Genomic DNA, 18,383 nt, shown 5'->3' on the forward strand with positions numbered 1-18,383 from the left:
CTCCCGCTCTCCTCCCAGTAAACGCAGGTCAGGCGTTGGGGGGGAACCGGGGCCATTGCTTTGCTAGCTTGGTTTGGGGGGGAGCCAGGAGGATCGCAAAAGGGAACAAAAATGAAGCCAGAACGGGAAACTTGCACTTTCTTGCACAAAGCATCTTTGAGGGACTGAGAACTGGTACGGGGGGAGGGGTGAGGACACAGGGAGAGAAGGGGTGCCTCCGAATGATGAGATAAATGCTTCCCTTTTGATTTATGTGACATAATAAAGTGAGGCTATCATCAAATACATCTATAGTAAAAGAGATCTGTGTCGTGTTCTGAGGTTTTTATTAACCGTGATTGACAGTCTTCATCCTGATAATCGGTTGCATAGATGACAGACACTGAGACAGAAGCAAACTCAAACACACTGGGTTGTTCCTTTCATACAAAGCAGTTTAAACTCATGGGCATTTGGCTCACCTTTTAGAGATGGCAGTTTTTAAATGGGGGTTATCTCCTGGAAAGCCACTTGATACCGCTTCTCTGCAACACAAGTTTAACCCATAAAGTGCCACATGGGATGCTGTCTATAAAGAATGGATTTTCCTCAAGTGGGGTGTCCACCCCCATCATTTTCTAAGGAGGCTGTATGAAATAGTTGCTGAGTTGGAATGTATAGTCTTTAGGACTCCTGTGGTGAGAGAGAGAATTAAAGGACAGTTTTTCAATTTGAAGGTAGAAATTGGATAATTTCACATAGTAAGTTGGGACGGTGAGATGAGAAGGGAGTTCCTGACACAACCCCCCTTCGGCTCCCATGTACCCCCAGGCATCGGACCTCAGTGGGAGCAGTTGACCTGACAACTCCTATGGGGAGAATCCCCACATCCTTGGAGCATCGCCATCTTATTTATTTTTTCCTCTGTGACCATGCTGATTTTCCATTTCTAATTAACTTGAAGAGATTGGTAAATCCCAGCTCCATGACTATTATGCAGTCAGAGCTGAACTGGGAGTGGTGCAAGCAGATGTGATACACTGCTGTAATTCAGAACCGGGACAACACAGGCCCACCCCAGCATGAAATCAATACCTGACACACTGCGCTACAACACCATTTCACTCACAATGGTCTTGTGTCAAAAATTTAAGAAAGATATTGCAGAAAACTAGTCCACGGGTGGAAGGCAGACCATTGACCTACCTCGTATAGTAAAATTTATGTCTCTGATTATCTACCAAACAATATCACTTTAATAGATCTCATACACAGCTGATTCATTTTCTGTTACTATTCTATTTCCACAAAGGATTGAAGGCAGTATTAAAATAATAACGGCTCACATGTATCACCTAGCACAATGCATTGCATAGGTTTATGCCCATGTCAACCTTATGGAGTAGGTGTTATGGTCATTTTCTTATCTCACAGATTAAGCAAGTGAGGTCCAGAGAAATTAGTAACAAGTCTAACATACTAGTATAACTGGAATCTGGATTGAAACCAGTCTACTAGGCTGTAAAGACAAGCTTTCTCTTGTCTCCTATTTCTTTCAAAAGGGACTTCAGGAATAAAACCACTGCCTCTGTTTTTTGGTAATTTAATCTTACATAAGAGTTAAAGACTTTAAAGAAGAAACGCTCAGCATTTCTTTCAGATTATTACTTTGGTCTGATGTTGATGTATTAGTTAACAGCATGAATTCTGGAATCAAGCTGCATGGTTCAAATTCCAATTTTGAAGCTAGTCTTGGGAGATTTACGTACCTTCTTTGTGTCTTGGAGTCCTTATCCGTACAATGGAGATTAAAATAAACCCTTATGCCTATGGTTGTTGTGAGGACTAAATAAGCTAATATTGGCAAAGCACTTAGAACAGTGCCTGGCATATACTAAATACCTGTACCATGATCCATCTTCTGGGTAGCATGTGCTGATTCTGAGCTGGAAGCCCACTGACAATTTTCATTAAGCATGCATACATATGGTAGTAGGTAATGAAGTCAAGCAAGACAAATTAAAACTGAATGCTTCTTGTGAGTTACTATGAGTTTAATAAATGGGGTAAAGAGGAAGGTGGGAGACTGCAAGGGCAGCGTGGTTTTCCTCATGCAGTGTGGTATTCATCCAGTTGCGAGATGCTGCCTTTAGTGGGGAAGGCTCCAGCCTTTCTAAGCTTTTAAATGAACGCCCTTAAGTGGTTCTGTTGAGGTGGTGAGATCTCTGCTCCATGAAAATGCTGAAAAACTGCAATTGCCTACCCCCTGCCCTGCAGTATTTCAAAATGCTAAGGACCCCACAAAAATGACAGCATCATTCTGAAAACACATGGCCTTTGATCCTATCCCCTTTAATTTTACTGAATAACTTTGGTCAAAGAGAACTGTTAGAAACTATGCAGAGTGAGGAAGTAGGAGGATTCACAGCCCTCTCTAATGGCAATTAGAGGAGAAAAGCACAAAACCTTCAGGGAATTGATTTGGAGATTACACTGCAAAAGAGGTAAAAGATCAAAGAAGGATGACAGTGCATGAGAGGCAGTTTTTCTTCCATCACTGGGGACGCTTTGTGCCAGAATTGTTTGCTATCAAAACATCTAAAGAAGGGTTTTCAAGACCCTTCTCTCTACTTTCAAGAAATTATATTTTCACATAGAAGATGCCTTCCCCAGTTTTAGAGAGAGGTCTAATGAGAAAAAAAAAAAAAAGCAGAGAGGAGCAAGCCCAGCCCCAGATATTAGCATCTCACAAATTCAAAGTGCTTACTTATAAATCTTATGAATGTAGATGTCTACATATCTGCAGAACAAATTCTAGCAGGCTTAAAACTCTGAAATAATCATACTAGCTTTCAGTATCCTAAAAAATAGCAAGCAGGGCATATCAGATTTCTGTATTCCAAAGCCTGCCTTTGAGCCAACTCTAATTCTCTCCCGTGCTACAGAAAAGCCCACTTTCCACTGATTATCTTCCCTTTTTATTTTCTGTGTAAATGATACGAAACCAAAGAATCATGATGAAATTTGAGCTCATTCTCAATACTGACAAGGCGGCCATTGTATAGCCCTTCTGAATTCTTTCTTTTGAAGACCACGTTCCTTCTCTTCAAAAGTCATAGCACCCTCAATATAGTATTGTACCACTTTGCACCCTGTCTTCTTTATATCTTTTGGATGTAAAAGGAGCTGACCCATGAAAACCTAAGAAAACAAAAAGGAAATGACACAGTGACCAGGTAGTACAGAGAACTCAAAAGCCTCCCTCTGAAATGTGTTTTCTGCAAACAACACTAAAATAACAGTGTTGCAATGTAATTTTTCAGAGTTTATTATTACAACATTAAAATTCATAGGTATCTGGACATCAATTGTACATATATTTTCAGGCTCTAATATATGGATGTAGTGCACCTAGTGCAGAAGGATGATATTTAAGCAACCAGGGGAAAAACCAGGAACAAGCCCAGTGGTGAGCCTTTGTAGACACTTTCGTTTGCTTCAGTGTTTTGTAGTCTTAATATTAACGTCTTGCTTGCTTAATGATTGGCCTCTTTTATTAATTTTGTTGTGCTTTGAATTTTCTTTTTTAAATATTTTATTTTACTTTAAGTTCCAGTATACACGTGCAGGATGTGCAGGTTTGTTACACAGGTAAATGTGTGCCATGGTGGTTTTCTGCACTGTCAGCCCATCACCTAGGTATTAAGCCCCACATGCATTAGCTATTTATCCTAATGCTCTCCTCCTGCAACAGGCCCCCGTATGTGTTGTTACCCTCCCTGTGTCCATGTGTTCTCATTGTTTAGCTCCCACTTATAAATGGGAACATAACGGTGTTTGGTTCTCTGTTCCTGTGTCAGTTCGCTGAGGATAATGGTTTCCAGCTCCATCCATGTCACTGCAAAGGACATAATCTCATTCTTTTTATGGCTGCATAGTATTCCATGGTGTATATGTAGCACATTTTCTTTATCTAGTCCATCATTGATGTGCATTTGGGTTGATTCCATGTCTTTGCTATTGTGAGTAGTGCTGCAATGAACATAGGTGTACATTATCTTTAAAATAGAATGATTTATATTTTGGGGGATACATACCACTAATGGGATTGTGGTAGATTAAATACTTAAATGTAAAACCCAAAACTATAACAACCCTAGAAGATAATCTAGACAATACCATTTAGGACATAGGCACAGGCTAAGATTTCATGACGAACATGTCAAAAGCAATTGCAACAAAAGCAAAAATTGACAAACGGGATCTAATTAAACTAAAGAGCTTTTGCACAGCAAAAGAAACTATCATCAGAGTGAACAGACAACCTACAGAATGGGAGAAAATTTTTGCAATCTATCCATCTGACAGAGGTCTAATATCCAGAATCTACAAGGAACTTAAGCAAATTTATAAGAAAAAAGCAAACAACCCCATTAGAAAGGGGGCAAAGGACATGAACGGACACTTCTCAAAGGAAGACATTTATGCAGCCAACAAACATATGGAAAAAAGCTCAACATCACTGAATAGTGATAAATAGAAAAATGCAGATCAAAACCACAATGAGATACCATCTCACAACAGTCAGAATGACAATTATCAAAAAGTCAAGAAACAACAGATGCTGGCGAGGCTGTGGAGAAACAGGAACGCTTTTACACTGTTGGTGGGAATGTAAATTAGTTCAATCATTGTGGAAGACAATGTGGCGCTTCCTCAAAGACCGAGAACCACTATTTTTTTCAAAAAATCATTTGTCTCATGAACTTTATGGCAATTTATCATTTTTGTCAAAAAACATACTTTCCTGGTTCTTCCTTTTAACTTTACTCCAATAGAGCTATAACATTTTTAGGCATTTTTTGATGCTTATACTGTATTTTCCAAAATATTAGATCTCTTTATAGATTCCATTTACCTACAGGACAATCCTTAATGTATTTCCAAATATATGTTTTCAAACAGATTAACTTTTTTCCTTTCTTAAGGTATATTTCCCCTTTTGCCATCTTTTGTAGATAATAGATTCTAAAATACACTAAAATTTATTAAAATACATGACTCACTTTGTTAAGTAGGTTAAGCAGCATTTATTCCATATAAAATAAAAATATCTCATAACTACAATTGTTATCTATTCATTTTCCCTCCATTATTGGGACAGCATCTCTGACTGCTGTCCACCCTCTGCACAAATGCCTGTGGTGACAGAGAGTGGGTGAGTTTTTCAGACAGCCCATTCCATGATTGTACAGTTCTGGTTGACAGAAAATTCTACCTAAGACTGAGGTGAAATGTCCTTCCCTCTAACTTCCAAGTCAAGTTTTTCTCCCAGAGCATAGTTTTCCAAATGTATAAGGATACTTAACAAGCTCCACTCACACTTCCTCTTCTTTACATGGGGGATCTTGGGCCATTAATCATTCTTCACGTGATGGCATAGAGTTTTTAGGAAAAAACAAAAACAAAAACTCTCTTTAGGATTATATTCAATATTATGTTATAGGGGTACTTTAAATATAGTAGTCTCTTAATCCTCTGGAATCTCTTGAATTACTTCTCATAAAGGTCCTTTAGGAAGCTTTGAGGGGAAACTCACTAATAATTTAGCTTCTTTTTAAACATTGTTTCCTAAATTAATTAGAATACTCAACATAGATTTTAAGTAATAGCTGACCAAAACACACACACACACACACACACACCCCTGAACTGATGTGAGTAATTTACTCTTTTTCACCCTGACTTCTAACAGAGGTGGTGGCGGGTAGTGACGGGCTAATGGAAAGCTCATGCTTGTTTCAAGAAATGAGGAGGGACTGGACTGTCTGTGTTTCATCTTCCCTATCTTTATCTGTAACTTTGGAAGTCAGGCAGACTCTATCCAAACCTAAGTGCCTCCTCTTACCCACTATGTGGCCTGGGGGCAGTGATACAACTTCTCAGAGGCTTAGTTTCCACATTGTAAGAATGGGGTCTACAATAGTTTCCACCTCCAGGTTTTTGTGAAGGTTAAAGCAATTAGCACAGTGCTAACATAGAGAAAAACATATTTAAATTCAATTACTTTTATTGTTGTTAGTAATAGTGTTGTTATCTTGTTCACGGATACCACTGGCAGTGTATGTAGCATAGTCCATAAGCGCACAGGCCATAGACCGAATGGCCTGAAGGTAAACCCAAGCTTTACCATTTACATGTCACTTTGGGGAAGTTATTTAATCTTATCATGCTTTAGTGCCTTCATCTGCAAACTGGGGATAATAATATTACCTTTGTCAAAGGGATAATGTGAAATTAATAAGCCAATATGGGCAGAAACCTTAGAAGAAGTTCCCACACATGCTAAGAGCTAGAAAAATATTAGCAACTTATTACTACCAATATTGGAGTCATATGTGCCACCCTTCCCACAGCTAGTGATCTAGGAAAAGCAAAGCAAAACAAAACACCTTCATCTCCTCCTTTGTTTCTTCCAGTAAGAGAAGAAGCTACAGAGAACACATGAGAAGAGACCCACCTCTGACTCTCCTTACTGCTTTCCTCTGCAGTCCCATGAGTCCTTACTTTTAAAATAGATAGTGGTTATGAGAGGGAATCATATATTCCAATAATGGGGTGTAAAACTTTAATATATAAAAGGTCTCACTTTGGAAAAGACAAAGGTATATAAGCAGCTTCCACCTTACCAAAAATAGAAATCCTACATATACACCTACCAAAAAATGTATAACAGATATTCAAAGGCCTAGAGCTAAAATACAACTTTATTCAGCCTTGAAACCCTAAAATTTCCATTCACAAAGGGGATGGGGTTTTAGTATAATTCAAAAATTCTAATGAGTTCCCGGAGGCTTGTTAAAAATATAAGAATTTGAGATGTGCATTTCTGATCACTTAATATTCACTCTTCTAATATTTGCAATGCTATTCATTATTGTAAATGTTCTCTTTCTAAACTAAGTTTAAATATCCGCAACACATACACACATGTAAGCACAAATACACACCCACACACAGAATGTAGGTATTTTAGATACATTTTCATTATGAAAGCCATAAATTTGACCAACTTGATAAATAACTTACGAATTAATATATTTTAGGAGGAGACATTTAAGCAGTGAATCTCCAATTACTGCTTGAATAACTTGCATGAATTGGAGGGAGCTCAGCATTCACTATTAACAGTGCAGCTGAAGTCAGATTTCTTGGCCAATGGATACCCAAATCAAACACAAGTTCAAGCTCAAACCTCACATATACCTTCTCAAGCACCTTCTGACTCACACCAATGAAAGCTGAGGGCCTGCCCAAGCTACACACCCTGCCTTGTGCATCTGGGCTTCTCACACTAGTGGCCAGCCCTGGGTTGGACCATAAGGTCCGCTCACCTGGGAAACAGAGACATACTGTGATCTGGAAGATCCTCAAAGCAGTAACTCTGCTTGGTAGAGAATTTTAATAAAGAAAGCTAATGAAAACCGTACTTGCTATCTATTTTTGACAGCCTTCCAAAAAATGCAACATTGTTGATATTTATTCTGGTATCATATTTTTGACAACCAGGAGCCTTTCATTTTATTTTTATTAACATTAATAGTAATGGGAGGGATTAAATGATTTTACTTTATGAGAGACAATGGTCCAGTTTTTGTTTTGTTTTTCTCCTGATGAGGCATAAAATAAATGCAAACTACATGGATTTTGAAATCAGGGAGAAACAGATTTGAATCCACATTAAGTCACTGGGCAATTCATTTAACTTTTATGAGTCCTTATTTTTAAAATAGATAGTGGCTATGTGATAATATTAAAATGATGATTAATAACTTTTTTCAAGCACTTACTACGTGCTAAACAGTGTTAAGCACGTAGCTCATTTAGTTATCATAACAAACCTGTAAAGTCTACAGTATTGTTATCCCAGTATTACAGATGAGGAAATAGCCTCAGACTGGTTAAGAAACCTGCAGAAGGTCACGTGGGTGGTAAACGGACTTGAATTCAGGTCTATCTTATTCTATAACCCATGCTTTTACCCATTACAATATGCTGCTGCCAATTAAATAAAAATATTTATATAGGGTTCCTGCGGCTTCCCAAAAAGAAGCTGGTATTTGCTCTGACAAATCTGAAAAAAGGAAAAACAACCCAATGACCCTAACTTATCTAACCTAACACCAGAATCCTGCAAAGCACAGAAGAAGCAGTGGTTCTTCCAGAAGCTCTGGGTTTCTTTTATTTGCACGGCTGACTTCCATATCCCTTTCCCTACCTTCTAGTTACATCTGGCTGGCCTCTCTGTTGAGATAAGGATTGTCTGTACTCATTTGGTATGCTCAATATATAACACAATGCCTGAAACACAGTATTTATTAAATGGAAAAAGGGATGTTTCTAAATAACTTATATGATTTTTTGCAAATATGAGGTAAGTTTTTAAACATATACAAACTCATGTAATTATCAGTATTATCCAACTTTGATTCCTACCTGCATTTTCTAGTTGAGGAAACTAAAGCACAGAAAGATTAAATACTCAACCAAGTTTACACTGTAAGTTTCAGAGCTATGTTTTGAATTCAAAGATAAACTCTTGATATATTATATAAGGTTCAAAAACGTATACATAAAAAGTAAAATGTGTTTTTAAGGTAACTGATTTAGTTTCAGATACTCAAGTTTGGTATCTCAAAAAAATACCATGATCTATCATTATTCATGAGTGAAAGATAATATTCTAGAAACTTATGACGTTTGTTTCAATGACACAAAAGATGCACGTGGCCAGAAACTTTATGCCTGTTATAGTAAGTACAGACCAAAGGTATCTCTGTAACCATATAAGTAAAATTATATGGTTACAGGGATTATTCACATTTACTTGGACTTCATATAAAATGTTCAGAGTATTTAGGGAGAAAATAAAACAATATTATCAAGACTCTACTACTAACTTGAAGCTATTAAGTTAGAAAATGAAGGTACCAAAGATGAATTTGATTTATAGCAGCTTCTAAATTGGTTAATAAATCAGATTCTGACTGCTTTTATTCAGCATCCAGCCAAAGCCATCCGCAGGCGCCTAAATGGTACATGCGTTGGCACAGGGTATCTGGTTGACTGCATGGGACAACCAGCTGTCTCTGGGAAGCCTTCCTCAATAAGGAAGGAGAGAGATGATAATAGAGAAAGAATTATAATGTTCTGTAGTGCCTGATACTATCCCAAGGAAAAACTCATAATTATTGTTTTAGTAAAGAATAGGTAGATATAGCTGTAATGCGTATGTTTTTCTTTGTACTTTAATTAAATTCTTTGCAAGTAAACCTGTTGGCTACAGATCAGATGAGAGCATGATGTATTTACTTTTATGAAAACACCACAATTAAAATAGATCAAGCCACTCCTATGAGTAAAATCATCTAGTTCTCTCCATGGAGTTAAGAAAAACTCCGAACTCCTCGTTTTTGATAATGTGACAAATTTGATCCTGCCTCTCTCTCCAACCTCAACTCTTGACATTTCCAATTCATCATGCCTAACCACTTTTATTTCTTCTAGTTTTGTTTCCTGTCACGGGACATTTACATATGCTGTTCCCTCTTCTAAAGCTTTCTCCTCCAGCTCTTCATGAGATTAGCTCCTTCTCATGCTGGGAAACTCAGATTATATGTGATCTCCCTAGAGAGTCCTTCCTTGATCTCTTGAGCCCTCCTTCAACATTTATTGCAGCTCTTTGTTTGAATTCTTCCTGTACTTTTCAGAATTGGTAGCTATTTAATTGATTGGTTTATTTACTTTTGGCCTTAATCTACGAATGGAATGTAATTTCTATAGGGCAATTGTCGACTGTATCCCAGATCCTTGCAGACTGTCTGGAACATAATGGAAACTCAATCAAAATTTGTTGACTATAGAATGAACAAATGAAGAATGAGTGAACTAGCCATGTTTGTTATAATCATTTCTTGCAAGTCATTTAGCATTCCTTATGGTGACTATTGCTTGTCTATAAACTGATTTGAACACATACTGACTCTACAGTGCCCTTTTGCTTCCCCAAATCTCAACTCCAAAGCCTTAAAAAGTCTAAGAATTGTTTATTCAACTCTCAAAAAATTAATAAAAGGAAAAGTTCTCAGACTCTAAACTGCAGGTAGAGAACAACATCTACATACAGAAGAACTGGTTTTGGAAAAGAAAAGCAAAAGAGGAAAAGGAGTAAGTACAGGTATCAAAAATTCAATCTGAAAATAACTCAAGCTAGAGAATTCAATTGCCACTCATTAAAAATCTGGACAATTCATAAACATTTCCCATGATGGCAATTCATCAAAGGCTTAACTTGATGTCATAATATACCTTTATGAAGGCAACTCTCTATTTTACGTAAAGGCATATCTCATTTTGAAGGAGACAGGAACACTGAATTACCTATCAGCCATTTTAATCAGGTTCACAATAAAAGTAAAAATAGAAACCGATGTTGATGCCTCACAAAGTGGTTCAACAAACATATTCTGATCCATTACCCATAATGATGCTGAGATAAGGGTAAGAAAGATATTATCATCCTAATTTTACATCTGAGCAAACTGAGAATCCGAGAATATAGGTGACTTCCCCAAGATCTGAGTCTCGATCTCTTGTTCTTTGCCTTATGCTCCATGGCCCCTTCCCTCTACAGTTAATTCTTGGAGGGAACCACACACTGAGCATTATTTCAAAATATATATTTTTAGAAGAAAATATTGACACAGCAATGTGAATGAATCTCAAAATTATGTATGAAATTTTAGAAAAGACAAAAGTGACAGAAAGCAGAGCAATGGTTGTCAGGGATCATTCGGGAGATTAAATCAACTACAAAGGGACATAAGGAACATTTTCAGGGTGATAAAAATGCTCTATGTCTTGAATAAAGTGGCAGTTACACAACTGTATAGAATTGCTGGAATTCACCAAACTATAAACTCAAAATTCATGATTGTTTTGTACATTAGGAAAATGTATTGTCTTCCTTGACAATAAAAGAATTATGTCAAAAAATTTTAAAATTCATAAAAATATAAAGAATTAAAATGTATCTATTCTTCTATTATCCATCAATAACTGTTGATGTAATTTTTAGAAATATTACCAAGTATTTTAAAAATTATACTTCATATACAGTTTAATACACTTATTTTACATGAATTGATGTCCATATTATCAAATATTCTTAGAAAATACAATACTTAATGGTTTTATAGGATTTTATTATGTTAGTCAATGGAAGATAATCAGCTCACTTGCAATTTTAATGTTATAAATAATGCTATTATGGATATATAGTACAGTACTCAATCATATGTTTTTGTGCACATCTCTGATTATTTCCTTAAGATACAATTTAGGATGAAGGATGATTAGTTCATAAATCATGAATATATTTTCAGGCTCTTGATAGTTATTTCCAAATTGCTATCCAGTAGTGTTGAACCATTTTACGTGCCCCTCAGAAAAGTATAAGAACGTCCTTATTAGTGAATCATTGACAAAACTGGGCATATCATTAATTTAAATTAATTTTTGGCCAAGATAATCACAGAAAAAGAAATGTGTTATACATTTATCTGGTAACTTATAAAGCTCCATTTTTCCTGTGGCCATTTGTAATTCTTCTAGCAAATTGCTTTTTTTTTTTTTTTTTTTGAGACAGAGTTTTGCTCTTGTTGCCCAGGCTGGAGTGCAGTGGCACCATCTCTGCTCACCGCAACCTCTGCCTCCCAGATTCAATCAATTCTCCTACCTCAGCCTCCCCTCCCGAGTAGCTGGAATTACAGGCATGTGCCACCACACCCAGCTAATTTTGTATTTTTAGTAGAGATGGCATTTCTCCATGTTGGTCAGGCTGGTCTAGAACTCCCAACTTAGGTGATCCGCCTGCCTCGGCCTCCCAAGGTGCTGGGTTTACAGGCGTGAGCCACTGCGCCCGGCTGCTTCTTCTTTTATTAGAGTTTTAATTTTCTTATTAACTCATAAGAGTTCTTTTTATATTAAGGACATTAATCCATTGTCATGTGAATTGCTAGTATTTTTGTAGTTTTCCACATAGCTTTTAATTTTGATGATGTTGTTATTTACAAGAAATTTTTAACATTTATATATTCACTCTAGCAGCCATTTTCTTTATAGCACACACAGCAGATGTTATGCTGAAGAAAGGTCATTTCCAATCTAAGCACAGACAAACACTTACTTACATATTCTTATAAGTGTTCTATGGTTAGTAAGCTGCTTTGAAAACCACCTCTGCTGCATTCTTCTTCCTTACTGGTCTCATTATTTTGCCTACTATCTAAACTGTGTGTGTTTGTGTGTGTGTGTGTGTGTGTGTGTGTGTGTGTGTGTGTGTGCGCGTGCGCGCGCGCGCGTGTCTGTGTTTGCATCTCAATCTCTCTCTCATTACATTTTAAAGACTGAATAAAATTTCCTTGCTGATATTTGACCAAACCACAATCCTTTATTATTCTTTTTTATTATAGGCCCATCCAAATGGTGTGATAACATTTCTTAAGTAGCAATTGTGAATACAGGGATCTTCGGTTCCATAATATAATCCACAATTTGTTCTAAATGAGGCCTGTGGCTTCATATTTCCAAATATTCTTAAAAGATTTTTCAGCCAGGCACAGTGGCTCACGCCTGTAATCCCAGCACTTTGGGAGGCCAAGGGGGGAGGATCATGAAGTCACCATCCTGGCCAACATGGTGAAACCCCATCTCTACTAAAAATACAAAAATTAGCTGGGTGTGATGGTGTGCACCTGTAGTCCCAGCTACTTGGGAGGCTGAGGCAGGAGAATGGCTTGAACCCACGAGGCAGAGGTTGCAGTGAGCCAAGATCGTGACAGTGCACTATAGCCTGGTGACAGAGCAATGCTCCATCTCAAAAAAAAAAAAAAAAGGAAAAAAAATTTCTTTCTCACAAACATTATCTCCATAAATTAAAGAATCCAAATGCCTTCAAATCCCTGTCACCTTAGTCTTACAAATTCAATCCTGCATAATTCAATGTGGCAGTGATCTCTGCCACAAAGTTGACTGGCAAAAGCAGTGAGTGAATTGAATGCTATCTTATTGGTCTGTTACTGAAGAAATGTAACATAGATTTCTTAGTTTTCTAGAATCTAAGCCACTAGAGACTTTGAAGCTCAGAGTCAATACCTTGAATTAAGCTCTGTGGACTTACAGCCAGAAAATAGGGAATATCTCTTTCTAGAGCTGTCCACCTGGTACTAAATCAGTTGGGGAAAAATTCAGTGTGAAAACTCACTAACCCCTTGAAATAGAAAAGACTGGGCAAGAGGTAAACAAAGAGAAAGTCAATGACAGGAACTCTTACTGTAAACACAGCCTCATAGGAACATACCTACCTAAATCCCCAATCACCAAAATACTCCTTATGACAATTTTCAGCATGCTCAAATTATGTTAGTGACTCCTCAAGCATTCACCTAGAGCCAAAACTTATTTGGGTCTTAGGCAGGAATGCTCATAATGTCATCTTCCATTGGTATCTTATCCATATACTGGACTGCAAATTCTCAGTCACTCTTCAGCTCCCTATTCCTCTTTATTTAGCTTTCTCTTTATACAAATCCTTCCATCTGTCACTTCCAGTTCTGTTGGGGGGACAGAGAGAAGAGTGAGAAGCAGAAGCCATGGAGATTCAATTACATATAACAGAATGGGAATAGTATGGAAGTCAAGGCAACTCTATTCTTTTCCAGGCTGTACCCAAAAGTAGCAATGTGAACTCTGTCAGAGCACCTTGCTAGTTTGGGTCTCAGAATAATGTATATAATAAGAATGATGCTGATTCTCTGTTGAGTTCTTCCCAGGGCTGTTTAGATTTTAAGATTAGTTCCACTGAGTCTCAGATTCTTTCCATCAATCTCCAGTAATCCACAAAATAAGGCATTTTCAGCACTACCTATTTTGAATAGAAAGCAAATATTACTTAATACTACAGAGCTCATGCAACAAGAAAACCTAGGAGGCTAAACTTACCTAGAACATTGTGGGATTATGGATATAAGTAGAGAGTTTTGCATGCTACTCAAGTTTATGCTGTGGAACATCTGGCTCAGATATATTTGAGCATATGCTTATCTTCAGGCAAAAAAAACCCCCAGCAAATTACAGATCTGCTTCATTTTCTCAGTAGAATGAAACAGAGTCATACTTCTAGTGTTACTAATACAAAATACAAACATTATTTATTGTTTGCTGAGAAGTTATGTATATTTCTCTAGGTATAGGATTTGATGCCACACTTGCAGCATAACCATGAATTTAAGAGTTTAGTAAATGTATAAAGACACCATTTAAGTGTGATTTAATTAACATCAATTAGCTGGATGAATTTAATTCAATCAATTCCTCTACATGTCTGCTATGTGTGTAGCACTACGCCAGGTACTGAGGATACAAAGAGATTAATACATCGTCCACGTAAGGATTTAACACACAGACAAACTACTATAGAAGACAGGAAGTTCACATAGCATGTTAAGTGCTAAACTAAAGGTAAGATCCAACTGGGTATTCAACCTCTTAGATAAGCTGAAAACATCAATTATGTAGCTAGTGGCTCAAGAAGGTTTAATCCTTTAAAGTTGACTTTGGAGGAAGGACTGAGTGACACATGGGAAATGATGGAAGATTGCTAGGCTCAGCCTGTTCTCTGTAGCTTCCAGTTATTCAGCTCTGACATCAAACATGGACACTCCATCTAGTGAAGCCAGAGGTTGACATGTACCCAGGCTCATCCGCCTGAGAAGGCAGTCCAGGGATAGGACCATATTGTGACTGGAACCTACTTCTTAGGGATTTTTACTTATCCATCCTACTTCTTCGCAATCATACATAACACATTTAATATCCTCCTCCTGAACACATTTCCAGTGGTATTTTGGTGTGTCTAAGGAAATTCATATGCTTACTACAGAACAGGGACCAGGGAGCTGCTCCCAGGTGTGTTTCTTAATCCCGGTCCAGACAGAGAGATGCAAAGAATGCGAAGAGGGCACAGGAACAGTAGCCTCAGGGAGACGTGAGATTTCTGAGCTCCTTCTGGAAGCACATTTAGCAAGTTCAGCCACAGAAGTAAGAGAAAGTCACTTTAGACAGTGAGAACAGCCCTGGAAAAGGCAAGGAAGGAAGAAGGCCCATGGCGCACTTTGAAGACAGGAAGTAGTTTTGTACAGCAAAAGAAGCTGGTGTGGATGACGACAGTTGCTAAGATGTTTAAACCGTATCATTAAAGCGGATGGAGTGAGGGTGGGGGAGTCATTGAGGTTTTTAAGTGTGCAGTAAATGTAATCGGAATTGCATTTTAAAATGACTCTAGCATCTGTGTAGAAAATGGACTGAACCAAGACTAGTACAAGGAAAGCAAACCTGTCAATATTTATGTTTCATTTTTTAGTTGTTGAAACTAAGTTTTTCCTCAACCTCTAGACACTCCAAGGGTGTGCTTAATAATGCAAAAGTTAGTTTTTATTTTGTGGTTTTCCTTTAAAACTAATAAAAAGGTATTAAAATTCACACAAAACCGACAAAGAAAAAGGTACTTCTTCAAAAAAATAAAGATTAAGTACCATCATTTTCATGACCTCAACCTAAGGCAAAAATGCATTATTTTTTGTATATCGCTTCTCCCTTTGTAGAAAGAACTAACATCAAATACAAATCTAATAGCTTAATAAGTATCAAGTAAACAAATTAACTTAAGTACGTAAGTCAATACATAAGACCAGCTCATCTAAGCATAACACAGTAACAAGAAAAAATGAGTTCTGCAAACAGAGTTTTGAAGATCCATTAGTGGGGTTATAGATCATCTATTTGGTAATTGTGTCAACATAAACTCTGGTAAGTTGGCTGAGCAATTCTAATTATCTTAATCTTTTTCCTGGAAAAATATAGCTCTTCTTTTATTTCTCTTTAATTTTCTAAATGGAAAAGCACATGACTTTGAACTTTAACCCTCATCAGTTTCTTATTTTGATATGTCACCAAAGGAGTAACATGCAAGAGAGTTCTGTAAAATGTCCAAAAGGAAGCTTCAGGCTTGGAGGATACATTTTAAGTATTTTTAGAAAGTGACATTTTTACATTATTTTAACAGTTGAAAATATATGTTAAGGTAAGTTTTGCAATTAAAAATAGGTTGGGCGAGGTGGCTCACACCTACAATCCCAGCACTTCTGGAGGCCGAGGTGGGCAGACTGCCTGAGGTCAGGAGTTCAAGATCATCCTGGCCAACATGGTGAAATCCTGTCTCTAAAAATGCAAAAATTAGCCAGGTGTGGTGGCAGGCGCCTGTAATCCCAGCTACTCAGGAGGCTGAGGCAGGAGAATCACTTGAACTTGTGAGCTAGAGGTTGGAGTGAGCCGAGATCTTGCCACTGCACCCCAGCCTGGGCAACAGAGCAAGACTCTGTCTCAAAAAAGAAAAAAAGAAAAAAAAAAGACGATGCTGCCTTGGGGGAGAGGAAGTATTAGAAATCAAGAAAACATGGAAATGAAACATAACAATAATACTTGCTTTCTCAAACTCACACACTGGGGTCCATATCAAAGGTCTCTATGGCAACTTTCTACACTCAACTTTCCCTCTATGCCTCTGTCTATGCCTGAAATGCTCCCATGCATTTCAGGAGAAACGCTGGAGCTTTTCCATCCCCAGGTAGAGATGATCCCGTGCATACGCTATGGTTGCCTGAACTCAGGACACAGAGAAAAATGCAGTATATAAAATTACTTTTAATTTGCTTTTGGGTTTTAAATGAAAAATTTGTCCTCCAGGAGATTTTTCAGTATATATATGAGTTTCTAATAGGAAATCAATCTTTTCTAAGCATTCTCTCCTTTTTCTTTTTTTTTCAGTTTGGTTTACTTAAAAATAATAGGTCCAATTGTTGAACTGTACTCTTTAAATGGGTGAACTTTATGGCATGTAAATTATATTTCAATATGGTTGTTTTAAAAAATAGAACAGATTATAACATCATTCAATAATATGTCTGGATTACAATCCCATTTTTTCCCAATAGTCAACTATTTATTAAACAGAAATCATATCAGGCTTCCTTGGGGAGAACTTTTTCTGTAACTGGCTCTTTGATCCCCTCGGTGTACTTACAACTTACATTTCACATAGTTACATATGTCTCCTTTCTTCAATATATAAATTGATTTTTTTAAGGTGACTATTTTTCCACTTACAAACATGAACACTACTGCTCAGGGCCACTGACTTTGCAAATTCTAACATATAGCTTGTATAAAGAATGCCTCATGATTAGTATATTTAAAGGGGTCTCTTAATTTGGTAGCATAACTTACTTGTCTGTAGATTTTATGACCTTCATCCTTCTCTCCTCTAGAGGTTACTTTTCATTTTGTTAATTTTGTTTACCTCTTTGGTATTCTTACTAGAATCACTAAATACATGCTATTTTATCTTTCCAAATTGCTGTCCTCACTCACCACAATTCATGTTGTAACTGAAATAAGCAGTGTTCTCAAAGATTAAATTGATGGGAACAGCATATTAGATACGTTTTCCCACTAGCTAAAGAGTACACACAGCAATGGCCGTATGGCAAGGTACTATCTCAAGAGGTTTTCTCCTATGAAAATTTTATCAGTTGTGAAGCTATGAGGTAAAATTCAATCTTAATTCCTAGAGATGTGTTCAAAATAATTAAAACAAAAATTTCCACTCATCTTAATTGGTATTTCAGAAAAACCACTGTTTACATTTCAGACTTAAAAATAGGAACAAATTACTTCTCATGTTTGGTAATTTTCACAAAAACAGAGTCGGGGTTGGATAAGAAAAGGTTGGGGTGGAGATAATACTAAAAGGGTAATAAAAGTAATGTCTGAGCTCGTAAATAATTTATTTTAAAAATTTTGTTGGTAGGAACTAGCCGATTTTGCCATAGAAACTTTAACTTACATTAGAATTATTTTGTTCACTGCAGTACAGAATGGTTAATAATAAAAGTAGTAATACCTAATGAATACTTACCCTGTAGCCAGCCACAGTGCTAAGAAATAATAATAATCCTTATTCCAACAGGGACACGTACTCTTAGTTGGCTACCTAACTGACATTCTCAACCTCTTTCTTACTTGTGCTTCTGCTAGAGAAGCTAAAAAATAAGATGCCTGTTTCCAAGTATCCTTTATATACAGTCTGGTCAATCAGGGAAATAAATGACATGGAGATTCGAGAAAAGAGCTTCCCTTCCTGAAAAATGAAAAAAGCATCCAAGCTCTCTTGCAGCCCTCGCTATGCTATTTACTGTCACTCTACTTGTTCCCTAACTCTGGAATGC

At 37.1% G+C, this 18,383-nt stretch overlaps 1 protein-coding gene across 4 annotated transcripts in view; it reads right to left on the reverse strand.

Moving 5' to 3' along the window:
• The window catches only part of TRPM3 (transient receptor potential cation channel subfamily M member 3), a 917,912-nt gene that overhangs the window by 592,573 nt on the left and 306,956 nt on the right, over positions 1 to 18,383 (reverse strand). The window lies entirely within an intron of this gene.

This window comes from Homo sapiens, chromosome 9, assembly GCF_000001405.40.
Source record: "Homo sapiens chromosome 9, GRCh38.p14 Primary Assembly".
NCBI classification, from domain to species: Eukaryota; Metazoa; Chordata; class Mammalia; order Primates; family Hominidae; genus Homo; species Homo sapiens.